General features: G+C 40.3%; 1 protein-coding gene across 8 annotated transcripts in view; it reads right to left on the bottom strand.

Moving 5' to 3' along the window:
• The window catches only part of LYST (lysosomal trafficking regulator), a 222,683-nt gene that overhangs the window by 22,148 nt on the left and 183,912 nt on the right, over positions 1-16,623 (bottom strand). For all 8 annotated transcript variants that reach the window (XM_011544032.2, NM_001301365.1, XM_011544031.2 and 5 more), the window contains 3 exons: positions 13,905-14,094; positions 10,172-10,308; positions 3,771-3,869 (listed from right to left, as the gene is read on the bottom strand). In XM_011544032.2, coding sequence (XP_011542334.1) covers positions 3,771-3,869; positions 10,172-10,308; positions 13,905-14,094 — 426 coding nt within the window. The remainder of the gene's footprint in view (positions 1-3,770; positions 3,870-10,171; positions 10,309-13,904; positions 14,095-16,623) is intronic.

The following is a 16,623-nucleotide window of genomic DNA, read 5'->3' on the forward strand; positions in this document are numbered from 1 at the left end:
AGGCTAATATTACTAGACAATTCACTGATGGGTCAGAAAATAACTTCCAGCGGGTCGAGCAGGTCTCTTGTGCTGGCACCTTCTTTTAAATATTGTTCTTGAATGAAGTAATACTACCTTGTATAAGCTGCACACATATTCTTCTGCCACTCTCAAGTTAGATAACAGATATATAGGTGTTCACTTATACGAAGATGATGTGGACACGTTACTTACTTCGTGACAGAATAACCCGACAGCAACTATTTTAAAATCAGTTATCACATTTAGAAGATATTCTCCTCTAACATTTAAATGGCTTATAGGTTACAATCCCATATAACGAGTCAACTTATTCATCATTACCTAGAATGCATTTTAGAAGACTTTTATCTTGGGTGCTTCAACAGAAACTTACGGTGCTCAAAGTTAGATATGCTTACTAGCTAAGGAAGGCATTTCCTAAGATCCCCTTGAAAGTATTTTCAAACAAGGATTTGGCCACATCCTATGTGGCACTTGGTTGGGGGGCCCATCTTTTGTCTGTGTTAAAGACAATCCAAAGGAGAACATGAACACTTTTAAAACCATGCATTCAGTGGGTCAGGAAAGCTGAAGAACAGAAACCAGTGAACATGAGGTGTCTCCTGCTAACCTCACAAGCTCAGGGTCAGAACCACAACCTTAGAGATGCCAGAATAGCAACACGATCCCTGGGAAAAAGCAACAACAATGTCTACAAATACCCAAGTAATCTCCCAACAAAACAAACTGATAAAACTACACTACTAAGTTAGATTTTTTGGCACTGTTAAATAGTAACTATTAATCTCATGATTTGATTACCTAATACTTAGGTGGAAAAAAAATCCTATAAAAATTAGCTGAAAAATCTGCTTTAAGGCAAATATATAACTGAGGACAGCTAAGCAACATAAGCCTTCACAAGTGTGTCATGACCTCAAAACTAAAAGAAATGTATGTCTTGCAGTATTTAAATTGTAATAGCTATGCTCTTGATCTGCTTCCTCAAAGCTATCCTGTGCACAAATACTCCTATAGTGACAGCTTAACCTTTTTTTTTTAAACCTGTACTGCACACTGTGTTAGTGCACAATTAAAAATGGAGAAGTAGGGAAAACTAAGAACAAGGCTGTTCAAAGTGTTGGCAAAAGCAAAAGGAAATAAAAAGCAAAAGATAAAGCCAGGTTTTAAAAAAGGTGTCCATGTCATGGTGCAAAATGATCCAAGTGCACAAGCTGACAACTGCCCTAGCAGCAGGGTTTAGAATCGATTTGTAGGGGAAGTCAGAAAGGGGAGCTCAGAAGATTAAAGGTAATGGCAGTGTGAATATTACAGATGTTATAAAATTAACATTCATTTTAAGCCTTTGGGAATCAAAAGGTGATAAAAAGGAGACATTCAAAAAGTTATGACACTTATATTCTCTGCTTATAACCTTTTTTAAAAACAATTTCAGTCAGGTCTCACTCTGCCGCCCAGGCTGGAGTGCAGTGGTGTGGTCACGGCTTACTGCTGTGATCTCGACCTTCTGGGCTCAAGTGATACTCCCACCTCAGTCTCCCTTGTAGCTGGGACCACAGGCATGCACCACCATGCCTGACCAATTTTTTTATTTTTGTTTTTTTTTGGTAGAAATAAGGTCTTGCTATGTTGCCCAGGCTGGTCTCAAATTTCTGGGCTCAAGCGATCTTCTTGTCTTGGCCTCCCAAAGTGCTGGGGCCACAGGCATGAGCCACCACACCCTGCTTATATTCTTTAGCATTCTTTTTATCATGGCATATAAGAACCTCATCACTGGCCTCAATCTTTTCCTGCCCTGCTTTTGTCATTCTTCCCCAACACGTTACACTCTAAACTACACAGGAAAGTATTTGCCACCCCCCAAAATCCCCATGCCTTTGATTCCAGGCTCTTGTGTAAACTATTTCCTCTGCCTGAAATGTTCTTTCCTCTTTCCTTTACTTACAGTAGATTGATCCCTTAGGATCCAGCTCAAGTGTAACTTAACAGGCTCCCTGATGTCTGGATGTCCTTCTTCTGTGGTCCTCTATCCTGGGTGTGGGCCTGTCTTAGAGCATACACTCCACTGTTCTGGCTCCTTAACCTGCCCTTCTTTGCTTCCTGCCTGGATCACTGCGGTGGCCTTCTCGTTGGTGTCCTGGCTCCCAGTCTCATGCCCTTGGAAGTGTTTCTCCTTGCAGGCTCTACAGTGGTCTCCCTAAAATGCTGACTGGATCATATAACTCCTGTTTATACCATTTTAATGGCTCCTTAGACTAAGAGACAGAAACAAAATATGGTCACATTTATACCTCAGTGACCATGCAAAGAAACTTAACAAGAGTTCAAAAGGGAATAAGCTTGGAAAAAAAAGTAAGAACCTGGCTGGGCACAGTGGCTCACACTTGTAATCCCAGCACTTTGGAGGCCGAGGCGGGTGGATCACCTGAGCTCAGGAGCTCGAGACCAGTCTGACCAACATGGCGAAACCCTGTCTCTACTAAAAATACAAAAATTAGCCGGGTGTGGTGGTGTGCGCCTGTAATCCCAACTACTCAGGAGGCTGAGGCAGAAGAATTGCTTGAACCCGGGAGGCAGAGATTGCATTGAGCCAAGATCACACCATTGCACTCTGGCCTGGGCGACAGAGTGAGACTCTGTCTTAAAACAAAACAAAAAAAAAAAAACAAACAAAAAAAGAAAACGAAGAACCTGGGAGTCACCCTATGCTAGAAATACAGGTTTCACTCAGTAAAACAGATTTAATACTATAAAGAAAATTATAATGGAAAAAAATGCACAGTGAAAATTCTGTATCAGAATGATGATTACTGAGTTATCAACCTAAACTTGACACATATCCTCAACTGCACCACAGGCAGTTGATTCAAGAAACAAAAACAGGCCGGGCGTGATGGCTCACACCTATAATCCCAGCACTTTGGGAGGCCGAGGTGGGAGGATCACTTGAAGCCAGGAGTTCGAGACCAGCCTGGCCAACATGGCAAAACCCCATCTCTACTAAAACTACAAAACTTGGCCGGGCGTGGTGGCACATGCCTGTGGTCCCAGCTACTCGAGAGGCTGAGGCACGAGAATTGATTGAGCCCGGGAGGCAGAGGTTGCAGTGAGCTGAGATTGTGCCATTGCATTCCAGCTTAGGCAAGAGAGGGAGGTTCTGTCTCAAAAAACAAAAACAAAACAAAACAAAACAAAACCCCCCAAAAACAGTAAATTAAAAGAAGCATTGCATAATCTGTCTTATTTTTTCCCGTTTTATGATTCAACTCCAAAATCCTGGGAGTTCAGTGAATGGCTGAAAAATAATAAAATTTCTTCCAGTAAGTGGTACAAATCCAGACAGACTACTTAGATTTTGCTGTCACTTAGTTTACCCAGAGGTTATCGGAATGTTGGACATTAGGGTTTCTAAGCTTTCAAACTGATAGACTCTTACAGTATACTCCTAAGGATTCAGGTTGCTATCGCAAATACAGGTAAGCACCAAAATGTCATTTAAAAGCCTAAATACAAAACAGATCTAACTCAAAATACCGTCTCTGAAAAAAAATGGGACTACTACAATTGTTTTCAAGATTTTTCATGATTCTAATAAACCCTAAAGCATTTTAAGACCTAATGTAGGGAGAAGATTAAGGTATAAACATTTTAAGTTAATCTTATGCAAAGTGAATTATACTTCATAAAGGCTTTCTTCCCCTCATTGACAAAGTCCCATACTACCCACACAGAAGCCCAGAACCTACCGTGCTGCTTGTAAATCTGTTTGTGTAGGCTGTGATGACACCGCATTTGCTTCCAGTAAACAGCTGGCAACTGTCAGGCACCCAAGCACAACTAGTCACCTTTGAAAAAGGACCAATCAAAGATTATCATGTTTTAAAAGAATGAAACTTAAAGTATAATAAAAATAAAATAAAAGAATGAAAAATACTTCTACTTTTCTGACAACTATTTTTTTTAACTCTCAAAAATGTTAGGTAAACATTTCTTGAAACAGAAACGTGTCAGATATAGTAATATTCCGTAACTTTGAGCCAAATGTCTAAATGTTGTTTCCAAATTAAAATATATTATAATGCATAGTCTATGTCTATACGTGCCTGTGTGTGGATATATGTGTATATATATTTAGATAAATTTAACAAAATGATTCAGGATTGATTAAATCCAAGGTTGAGTGTGAATGTATGTGTACTTCACATATTTATTTGCTTTTTGCTTTTATTTTCCTCGTTTTATGTCTTTGGTGGGGAAACAGGTACATGTAAACAGAGGTATTGCTTCTAATAGTTCTAAAGATTGTTAAGCAGGGGAAGAAAGAAGATAAATGTGAATGTAAAAGATGGGATTATGCCTTTGGTACAAAATCCCTCAGTCCTAACCATGGAGGCACCACTCAGGTTTGAGTCAATTTTCTATGTGGCCTGACAGGTCCTCTTTTCCATGCTAGCTGACCCCCACCCTGAGCACCATGTCCGCAGCAACTGTCCCCAACTGCTCTCCTGTCCCACCTCCCCCACACTCACTTCACTAAGCAGATGGAGACCCCCAGCTGCACACCTCTTCCTCTCCTCTCCTCTGCACCTCAACATGTTTCCCTGTCTTCTGATTCAGAGAAAGAAATGTCTGCTTTCAAGGTCAGCCTTGCCTCATCCTCAGGCTTCCTCAGAAACCTTGTTTTCTTTTTCTTACAGTTTCAAGCTGTCTCTTGCTGGCTTCCCCCCTTGCACTACAAGTGTGTTCACGTCTCTGCTACCTTAGAAAATGACTTTCTCTGATCTTTATTCTTCTTAACTCCCGTTATACCATAAGGATCCATTGGATCCAATTTTATGTTTTCAGTTTCTTTCTTGAGTAGTTCTATTTGTTAGGATTGATACTTCATAAATTTTATTCTTTCTTGGAGGTCTTCCAAAGAACAAAGAGAAAATGCACTTTTAAAAAATACACAGAATAAAACTCATTCTGTCTTGGAATTACCACATGGATCCAGTGAATCAACCTAAGTTACATTACAAGATCTTAATAACTAACTTGTTTTTCTATATCCTGAAACATTTAGCGATTTCATCATTCTAAAAATTATTTCATCACTACTCATCAATTATTCCTAAATACGCAAAAAACAAACAAACAAGCAAGGAAATGGGAGAATGATGGAATCTCCCAAGAGGATAATCTAATATGTGAACTAAATCGTCATCTTTTGGTTTTCTTATTGCATTGTCCAAAGTATAGTGTCATCTTTCAGGAAAGTATAAAAGAAGGCTGGAGACACCACTTCTGTAGTCTACTTTTGGCTTTCATTGAACACGGTGGAGAATTCAGAATTTTTCATTTTCTACCAAGAAAGCTGACAGAGGAAGATGTTTCACAATTATGAGACTAATCACAACATGAAGGCACACAGCCGTCAGGACTCTAGACTCTACTGATGATGATGAAATTGATCATATAAGTGAAATCTCAGAGCGTGAGTCTTTATATAACAAAATCCTGGCTGGGCACAGTGGCTCATGCCTGTAACCCAGCACTTTGGGAGGCCGAGGCGGGCGGATCATGAGGTCAGGAGATCGAGACCATCCTGGCTAACATGGTGAAACCCCGTCTCTACTAAACATACAAAAAAATTAGCTGGGTGTGGTGGCACGCACCTGTAGTCCCAGGTACTAGGGACGGTGAGGCAGGAGAATCGCTTGAACCCAGGAGGGGGAGGTTGCAGTGAGCCGAGATCGCACCACTGCACTCCAGCCTGGCAACAGAGTGAGACTCCGTCTCAAATAATAATAATAATAATAATAATAATAATAATAATAATAATAACAACAACAACAACAACAACAATAATATCCTAGCTGAATTTTCTCAAATCAAAGAATTAATGGGTGAACAAAAATATATCTTTAGAAATGTATCTCTAGATGAAAATGCAATATAGTATTCTCATCCAGTTTAGTCATTTGACTCAAAGTATCACACAATGTCATCACATCTTGTTTTGCTAACAGGACTTGTGATAGTGTTCTTTCATCTTTATTTTCATCTATTATGATACAAATAATTTTGCAATGTTTAAATTCTTTTATATACATGAAATATTATTCAGCCTTTAAAAAGATGGAAATCCTGTTATTTGTGATAACACAAATGACCCTGGGGGACACTGTATTAAGTAAAATCTGCCAGGCACAGAAAGACAAATACTGTATGATCCTGCTCCTATGTGGAATCTAAAAAAAGCTGAACTACAGAGAGTAGAGTAGCAGTAGCCAGGGGCTGAGAGTGCTGGTAATGTGTGTGGAATGGAGAGATGGTGGTCAAAGGGTACAGGTTTCAGTTGTGCAGGATGATTACGTTCTGGAGATCTAACGTAGAGGATGGTGACTACTGTTAATAATACTGTGTTGTATTCTTGAAATTTGCTAAGATAGTAGATCTTAAATATTCTCATCACACACGTAAAAAATGCTAACTATGTGAGGTGACGAATGTGTTAATTAGCCTGACTGTAGTAATCATTTCACAATGTATATATACATGTATTAAAACATCACATTGTATACCTTAAATATATACAATTTTATTTGTCAATTTTATCCCAATAAAGCTAGAAAAAAATAAAAATAAGAATTTTAAACAACTTTATTCAAGCTTTGGATCTGCTAAACTAACAAGTCAATTTACTTGGCAAAAACAATTTGACTAAATGCTTGTCTTTGTACTGGTGAAAATAAATTAGTGAATCGGAAAGCATCTTTAAAGTTATTTGTTCATCTTTGTCCTCTCTTCACACCACATCAATCTAATGTAACAGTACCCAACTCTTAAATAGAAGGAATGCCTAGTAATTAAAGGTGTAAAGAATTTGATTGAAAGCTTATGTTATATCTTTAACATTGCGTTGAAAACATTCAATTAATACTGATGATGATTTCATTTTTCTTCACTTTTCATTGGAAAGTCAAGATGTTTGTAAATACAGATTACTGATGACAGCAATGAGTTAAATCTGCTCATAAATTTGTGTCAGTGTATTTTGACAGGTAGAATGTATTGTATATCTAACTCCCACTGTACATATTTGTCTGTTTTTCCCAATTTATAATAATCCCAAAAAGGGTGCAGTAAGGGACATACTGATTCTATAATATGTTTTTGTGTTTTCATTTATTTTGTAGACTCATTTCCAATTTAGTTATACTACAAGCTTTGCCATGATTTATGGTTATAACTTGTTTGTGTTTGGATATATATATTTCTATCTGCATACAAAGGCTCTGGTTAATGCAGCCTGATGTTTCAAAACTAAAAAAAAAATCTTATTAAAGTTCCTAGTAAAGTTGTTTTTCACTGTCTCTTTATTCTTACTTCTGTCAGTTTCCTGGTAAGCTATATAACAAATGGTGGCAATATTTTGGTCAGGGATATTGAGGGTTATGCAAACAAGGCACTGCTCCTCTTGCTTTCACTGCTAAACATTCCCCTAAGTAGCTTCCTCCATTTCTAAAGAGCTCAGGGAATGGGATACATTTTAGGACACATGATAAGGCAGCAGGTGTTATGCAGGTAATGGAAATCAGAGGATGAATGGTAAGAGAACTTCCCATGGAAAGAGAGTCAAAAAAGAAGGCTGTCCATACGATTTACAGTCTGGAACGGTTGCAGCAGCATACTGTATATTTACATGGTATTTTACAGTTTACAAGTTTCTTTTTTTTTTTTTTCCCTTGAGACAGAGTCTCGTTCTGTTGCCCAGGCTGGAGTGCAGTGGTGCAATCTTGGCTCACTGCAAGCTCCGCCTCCCGGGTTCACGCCATTCTCCTGCCTCAGCCTCCCGAGTAGCTGGGACTACAGGCGCCCGCCACCACGCCCAGCTAATTTTTTTTGTATTTTTAGTAGAGACGGGGTTTCACTGTGTTAGCCAGGATGGTCTCGATCTCCTGACCTTGTGATCCGCCCGCCTCGGCCTCCCAAAGCGCTGGGATAACAGGCTTGAGCCACCGCGCCTGGCTACAGTTTACAAGTTTCTTTCACAAACACTGGAAACATTTTACAGCAGCTTTCTGAGAAAGAAGTGTGAGTACTATTATCTTGGTTGTAATGAGGAGGAAAGAAACTCAAGTTTGGAGAGATTAAGTTACTAGTCAAAGGCTGCAGTTAGTATATAACGAAGCTGGGACACTAACAAAGATCACAGGGCTTTAGGCCCAATGTTCTTTCTACTATACATGATGTCTGAATAACCAGTCCATTTAGGAAAAATCAGGTATAAAAGATGGCACTATGGTTACAGAAAATGACCTAATGACAAAGGTGAGTGAACACTGAGAAGAAGGCAATGCTGATTTGGTTCAAACACTATGCCCTTCACTGATGTTGAGCAGGAGATTTTGATAATATTCTCTCAATGAGAAAATGGGTAGAAAACAAATTTGGGGGACACAAATAGTGGTAGTTAGGAAGTCTGTAAGTACTATAAACATCAGATTCTCTCTTTTTTTTTTTTTTGAGATGGAGTTTTGCTCTGGTTGCTGATGCTGGAGCGCAATGGCACGATCTCAGCTCACTGCAACCTCTGCCTCCCAGGTTCAAGTGATTCTCCTGCCTCAGCCTCCCGAGTAGCTGGGATTTACAGGTGCCCACCACCATGCGTGGCTAATTTTTGCATTTTTCATAGAGGCAGGGTTTCACCATGTTGGCCAGGCTGGTCTCGAACTCCTGACCTCAGGTGATCCCCGCACCTTGGCCTCCCAAAGTGCTAGGATTACAGGCGTGAGCCACCATGCCCAGCCTAACATCAGATTCTTGACTGGACAAATTGCAGGATATTAAAAACTGGCTGCTTGGCTGGGCACAGTGGCTCACGCATGTAATCCCAGCACTTTGGGAGGCTGAGGCGGGAGAATCACCTGAGGTCAGGAGTTCGAGACCAACCTGGCTAACATGGTGAAACCCCGTCCCTACTAAAAATACAAAAATTAGCCAAGTGTGGTGGCACATGCCTGTAGTCCCAGCTACTTCGGAAGCTGAGGCAGGAGAATTGCTTGAATCCGGGAGGCGGAGGTTGCAGTGGGCACAGATCACACCACTGTACTCCAGCCTGGGCGATGGAGCGAGACTTCATCTCATAACAAACCAACCAACCAACCAACCAACCAACCTAGCTGCTATCAGTCTGACTCTTTTTTTTTTAAGATGGAGTCTCGCTCTTGTCACCCAGGCTGGAATGCAATGGCGTGATCTTGGCTCACTGCAACCTCTGCCTCCTGGGTTCAAGCGATTCTCCTGCCTCAGCCTCCTGAGTAGCTGGAATTACAGGAATGTGCCACCATGCCTGGCTAATTTTTTTTGTATTTTTAGTAGAGATGGGTTTTCCCCGTGTTGGCCAGGCTGGTCTTGAACTCCTGACCTCAGGCGATCTGCCCGCCTCAGCCTCCCAAAGTGCTGGGATTACAGGCATGAGCCACTGTGCCCAGCCAGTCTGACTCATTTTTATGCATTAACCATTATAAAGATACCACAAAAACGTTTACATGGGCCAGACACAGTGGCTCACTGTAATCCCAGCACTCTGGGAGGCCAAGGCGGGTGAATCATTTGAGTCCAGGAGTTTGAGGCCAGCCTGGGCAACATGGAGAAACCCTATCTCCACAGATAATATAAAAATTATCCAGGCATGGTGGCACGCACCTGTAGTCCCAGCTACTTGGGAAGCTGAGGGAGGAGGATCACTTGAGTCTGGGAGGTGGAGGGTGCAGTTAGCTGAGAGTGTGCTTTTGCACTCCAGCCTGGGCAACAGAGCGACACTCTAAAATTAAAAAAAAAGTTGGCCAGGTGTGGTGGCTCACACCTGTAATCCCAGCACTTTGGGAGGCCAAGGCGGGCAGATAACAAGGTCAGGAGATCGAGACCATCCTTGCTAACACGATGAAATCCCGTCTCTACTAAAAGAATACAAAAAGTCAGCTGGGCGTGGTGGCAGGTGCCTGTAGTCCCAGCTACTTGGGAGGCTGAGGCAGGAGAATGGCGTGAGCCGGGAGGTGGAGCTTGCAGTGAGCCAAGATGTGTCACTGCGCTCCAGCTTGGGCGGCAGAGTGAGACTCCGTCTTAAAAATAAATAAATAAAATAAAATAAAGTGTTTACCTGGTACTGTTGTGAACTTTGAATAAAGTTTACTGGAGGCTCACTTTGTTTACTCTTCAACCTTAAAATATTATCAGCATATCCCCAGCTCAGGATGGCTGACCACTGAATGTCCGTACTGTTCATGCTTCTCACACCTCAAGGAGAAGGAGAAAGAAAAGTATCAGATTGTCACTGCTCGACTGTTACATGACAGCCCAAAACTGGCAGATTAAAGGGTGAAGTTTACATAGCAGAACATATCATTTGGTGCAAGACCATCTTTAAATCTCTAAAATGGAACAATTTTTTAGTTTTATTCCTTTAATGCTAACAGGGTTCTCAGGGTGGGATTATATTTTTTCACTTGTGTTGTTTTGACTGGGATTTGTTTGACTCAGAACTAAAATTTCTGTTAAGAAATTATTATAAAAGACAGTAATAGTGAAGCTTACTCTATTCATGTTCTGAGACACCTTTTCTTTTAAAAATAAATATGAACTAGATACTATTTAACTTTCTAGATACCCAGGATAGACAACTGTTAGTAGCAGGAAGATAACACTGCTAGAGTGGAAGCAACACCTAGCCTGAGAAGGGATCATTTAATCCTGTCAACTGCAGGACTGTGTATGGTAGACCTTCATTCAATTCAAGGAGGCTCTGTTCTTCTCTTCTTCTTCTTTTTTTTTTTTTTTTGAGACAGAGTCTCGCTCTGTCACCCAGGCTGAAGTGCCGTGGCGCAATCTCGGCTCACTGCAACCTCCGCTTCCTGGGTTCAGGTGATTCTCGTGCCTCAGCCTCCCCAGCAGCTGGGACTACAGGCGCTCGCCACCATGCCCGGCTGATTTTTTTTTTGTATTTTTAGTAGAGACGGGGTTTCATCATGTTGGCCAGGCTGGTCTCGAACTCCTGACCTCAAGTGATCTGCCCGCCTCGGCCTCCCAAAGTGCTGGGATTACAGGCTTGAGCCACTGTGCCCAGCCCTCTCTCTTTTTTACAACATAGTATGATGTTCTCTTGGCATAAAAATTTGGAAATTTTGACATCATTTCCCAGTACTATTAATTATCTATGCTTTGTTGGTATGCTGAATATAGCTAAATGCAGCATATATGCTGTAAATGGTACTGCCCTTGAAACTTGCAATGTTTTAAGTTCCTAAAGGAGAGACAATGTGCTTTATTTATTCCAGTACCTAGCAGAATACCCAGAAGTAGATGAGTATAACAAATAAATATTTCTTGAATGAATCAACAGCATAGTGAAAATAGGCAATTCACAGCTTTTTGTTTTGCTGAGTAAAATAAGAAATGTTGACAACATTTTGTAACAAAAGAATTGGAATATACTCACTAAATAGAAACTCCTCTAAATATAAGCTGCTAGGGAAAGGAACCACATATCATGAGTCTTGAGTCCTCTCAAAATCTGCCATGATGCCTGGCATGCAGCAAGTGCTCCATAAACCAAGGTTTCTCATTCCAGTACCACAAGAGGCATCATCTTTTTTTTTTTCTTTCAGAAAAAGAAACTTCTCCTTTAACTATTAGGACAGTATATCTTAAATAGGATCTATTAAAATTGAATCTAAAATTGATTTTCAGCATGTATAAGCTTGGACTCAAGCCCCAGAGATTCTGATGCAGTGTGTCTCTTGTGTTAACAAGTGACCTAACTTTCATCTGTAAGCTACAACATTGTTCAGTCAATGCCTCTCTAGAATGTCTATGTGGACTGTTCCTTGCTGGGTCTAGTGTTGAGTGTATGTAGTAAACACTGACCTCTCCCAGACCCTAGGGTATTTACAGGCCAATAAGCATTTATTAAGCACTTAGAATGAACCAGGCACTGTGCTAATCATCCCCATACATTATTGTATTGAATCCTTACAGAAAATTACCCTGTGAGGTAAATTATTTTGTTATTCCTACTTTATAGATCAAAAGCCAGGATTTGCAAAGCACGAAGTTAACTTCCCCAAGGCCACATAGCTAGTAAGCAGCAGGGCAAGGATGCAAAACTCAGGAACTGCCTGTGGAGGCCATGGAGGAAACTGTTCTATTAAACTACTGCTCTGGACATACCCAGGTTCTGACAAATTCCAAATACATTGTGCGAAGAAATTAAGTGTAATTTGAGCGAACATAGCTATTAAGGGCACACTAAGGGTTCATGACTGTAGTGGCACAAATAAGATAGGCTTAGAATATGTTTGACATGCTTAAGTCCCATAATGCAAAGTGATAATACCTGCTCTTTCTCTTTTGCTCAACAGAGAGAAACTTTACAGTACTCTAATTTTTTTTTTTTTTTTTTTTTGAGACGGAGTCTTGCTCTGTCTCCCAGGCTGGAGTGCAATGGTGCGATCTTGGCTCACTGCAAGCTCCGCCTCATGGGTTCACGCCATTCTCCTGCCTCAGCCTCCCGAGTAGCTGGGACTACAGGAGCCCGCCACCACGCCCGGCTAATTTTTTTTTGTATTTTTAGTAGAGACGGGGTTTCACCGTGTTAACCAGGATGGTCTCGATCTCCTGACTTCGTGATCTGCCCGCCTCAGCTTTCCAAAGTGCTGGGATTACAGGCTTGAGCCACCGCACCCAGCCTACTGTACTCTAATTTTTTAAAGGTAAATAATTCACACATGTTGGTACTTTGGTATTATTAGTAAATTACTTGTAAATTGCCTCATAACTAATTGTAACATACTAGTAAGAATGAACCATTGATAACACAATAATTATGATTAAACAGTTCTACCCTATCCTATTAACTCACTAAACATAGATAAAACGGTATGCATCCTCTCTTATTTCTAACAACTATAAAACAATCATTCATTTCATGACAGAAATAAGAGTGAGCCTAAAAGAACTATGGCCCAGCTAGCATACCTAATTTCTTTAAGTGACTGATGTTTTCTCTGGGTGCTGGCACCTTTGTATTGCAGGTTGGGTGGAAGGCTATATATGGCTCCCAAAGAGCACAGTGCACAGAAGGTAATGGTAATTGCCAGCAGTGCTGGCTGCTAACAGGCATCTAGTCCACACACTGGCTTTTAGGCAAGTCTGCATTTAACCTGATAGAAACAGATGAGTGCCCTAGGTCATTCATTTTGGTGCCCCATGTCCACAGTAAGTAGGAAGAGTTCTTTTGTTTCTAGTGAAATGGCTAATTTGGAATGGCTGAGGGACTGCTCAAATGCAAAATGTCCCTAGTTTTCCAGTGTCTAGTTGACATTTAGAAACATGAAGAGGCCTCTACTGCACAGCACTTTCCCACATGTTGCTTTTAGTGAGTCAGTATGTGGGGAGTCAGAAAAGGATTGGTTTTCAGGAATACGTGTCTTTAAAACCTATTTTCAAGGCTATCTCGACATCCTTGTTGTGTTTGTTGCTTAAACCCATGACTATATCTTCTGAGATGGTAGATTTGTTGGTCAAATACGTCTGTCTATTCTGGGGCTCAACAGCCTCAAAGTGTACATTTCTGCCAAATCGATAACATCTTCATTTTGTGAACATAACCATCTATTCTTGTCCCCTTCAAGTTCCTCCTCTCATTTCAAATAGCACTGCATTTAACTCTCTGTTTTTTCATGTAGCATGTTTTCATTCCTACTTTGCACTAAATAACCACAAATTTGAGCTGAGTTTTTCCACCAAGGACTCAAAGTAGCAGCACAGATGAGCTAGAAATACTCAAATCTCACGAAAGATATATCCAGAATGATCTTCGTTACATTTTATTTTACCTTGTTCCTTGCTATATGTCATCAGAAGACAGAAATTCCGTGACAAACCACAGATTGCTCTGGTGGGCAGAGCCTGGAGAGAGCCAAATCTTTCTCCGTGGGGCTGGCTGAAGCAGACCACAGGTACTGGAGCACTGGGGGAACCCACGTATTCCCCCCATTTCAAGCCTTTTATCCATGACAAAGGACTCTAAAATGAAGAAAAATAAAAAGTATGGCTTTTTAAAAGGTGGTAAGTGTAGAATTACTTCTAATTTAAGCTCTAAACAAAGTAAGAGAAAGTAATATGGATTATAAGCTCTGTAAGGGCAATAATTATTTTACGCATTTTTTTTTACTTCCCCATGCTTAGCGTATAGAAATATTTGTCCCTTATTTGAGTTTTACTCTGTGGTTCTGGCCTAATTTGCATGAAAATATGTGGTTAATAATTCAAAATTCCTTGAAATTTGAGCAGAGAAAAAAATTTAGTACATTTCTTATTTCTAGTTGAAATACCTAAACTAAAGTTGATACTTACTGGAGGACTGTAATTTGGTAGTATGACAAGCCATATGTACATATGGTAATAGAAATCAAGACCACATGTAGCACAGGAAACCTCACTCAGCTATGAGCTCCTTGAAGAGAGGGAACACCTCTGATTCATCTATGTGCCTGGAACATAGCAGGTTCTCATCTCAAATAGATACGTGATGAGTGAAAGGGAAAGTGTTTATCTATGGAACATATTGCGAGGATTAGAGAATCTCTAGCCAGTACTAGAGAAGAAAAGAGATGAGAAAGAATTGTCAGTGAAAAATAAAAGGTAGAGCTTGAAGAACAATAGGATTTGGGGGAAGAAAGGTGAGTGAAGACTCTAGAGAGATACCCATTTGGCTGCCCACGAACGGTAATGAAAAGGTTTCCTCCACTTCAAGCAAAAACAGTTATTAAAAAGTTTCAAAATGAAGAAGAAAAGACATGATGCCCTTTTAAAGAGTTTCCCCAAATAGTTCTATTCTTTTTGTTCTCCTTATGACTGTTTTATCCTCTACTGAACTCTTCTTTTTTAATGGATTCCCTCCTTTTATACATTTAAGAGTTTAACCCATTATTTTACTTTCAACTCTTCAGAGGAAATGCTACATAAAATAAAAATAATATATTAAGCAATTTTCAGTCATTTCTGTAAAAAACCTGATTTTTAGTGAAACTTGCTTATGTCATTTTCCAAATAAATGAAAAAAAAGGCATCACTGACGTATAGACTATCTTTTAAAAAAATCGTGCCACTTTAGGAGCTCTAATAATTCTGTCAGACTATTTAGGGGACATGTTAAATGATATCATAGTGGTCTAAAAAATGAGTATCTCTGGAAAAGCTTAAGAGCTTCAGGAATGCTCATGTGGGAACAGAGACGTTAGGGTCAGGCATTTTGAAAACAAGCTTCTAAAATTTTGTCTAACAGTGTTTTTTTGTGGCTCCCCTGTGGGATCCAAATCTATCAATATTAAAGTTGAGAAAGGCCGGGCGCGGTGGCTCAAGCCTGTAATCCCAGCACTTTGGGAGGCCGAGGCGGGCGGATCATGAAGTCAGGAGATCAAGACCATCCTGGTTAACATGGTGAAACCCTGTCTCTACTAAAAATACAAAAAAATTTAACTGGGCGTGGTGGCGGGTGCCTGCAGTCCCAGCTGCTCGGGAGGCTGAGGCAGGAGAATGGCATGAACCTGGGAGGCAGAGCTTGCAGTAAGCCGAGATCACGCCACTGCACTTCAGTCTGGGCAACAAAGCAAGACTCTGTCTCAAAAAAACAAAAACAAAAACAAAAAAAATCAACAAATAAAGTTGAGAAAAATGTGTGTGCTAAATTTTAGTTATAATTTATCATTCACAATTCCTTGCCAGGAATTCATATAAAAGGAACTTCCTTTTATATGAGTTGCAGAGTTTAAACTTCTAGTTTTTCAATGACACAGAAAGATACAAGGGCAACTGTTTTATATCATAGCATATTTATGATCATTATTCTCCTTTCTTTTTTTTACTTTAGTTCTGGGATACATGTGCAGAACGTGCAGGTTTGTTACATAGGTATACGTGTGCCATGGTGGTTTGCTGCACCTATCAACCCATCATCTAGGTTTTGTCTTGATGCTCTCTCTCCCATCCCCACCAACTCCACCGCGTGGCCCCAGGGTGTGTTTTTCCCCTCCCTGTGTCCATGTGTTCTCATTGTTCAACTCCCACTTATGAGTGAGAACAAGCGGTGTCTGGTTTTCTGTTCTTGTGTTAGTTTGCTGAGGATGAGGGCTTCCAGCTTCATCCATGTCCCTGCAAATGACATGATCTCATTATTTTTTACGGCTGCATAGTATTTCATGGTATATATTTTCTTTATCTAGTCTATCATTGATGGGCATTTGTGTTGGTTCCATGTCTTTGCTATAGTAAATAGTGCTGCAATAAACATACGAGTGCATGTGTCTTTAGAGTAGAATGATTTATATTCCTTTGAGTATATACCCAGTAATGGGATTGCTGAGTCAAATGGTACTTCTGGTTCTAGATCCTTGAGGAATTGCCACACTGTCTTCCACAAGGGTTGAACTAATTTACATTCCCACTAACGGTGTAAAAGCGTTCCTATTTCTCCACAGCCTCACCAGCATCCATTGTTCCTTGACTTTTTAATAATCGCCATTCTGATTGGTGTGAGATGGTATCTCCTTGTGG

Source organism: Homo sapiens, chromosome 1 (assembly GCF_000001405.40).
Source record: "Homo sapiens chromosome 1, GRCh38.p14 Primary Assembly".
NCBI lineage: Eukaryota > Metazoa > Chordata > Mammalia > Primates > Hominidae > Homo > Homo sapiens.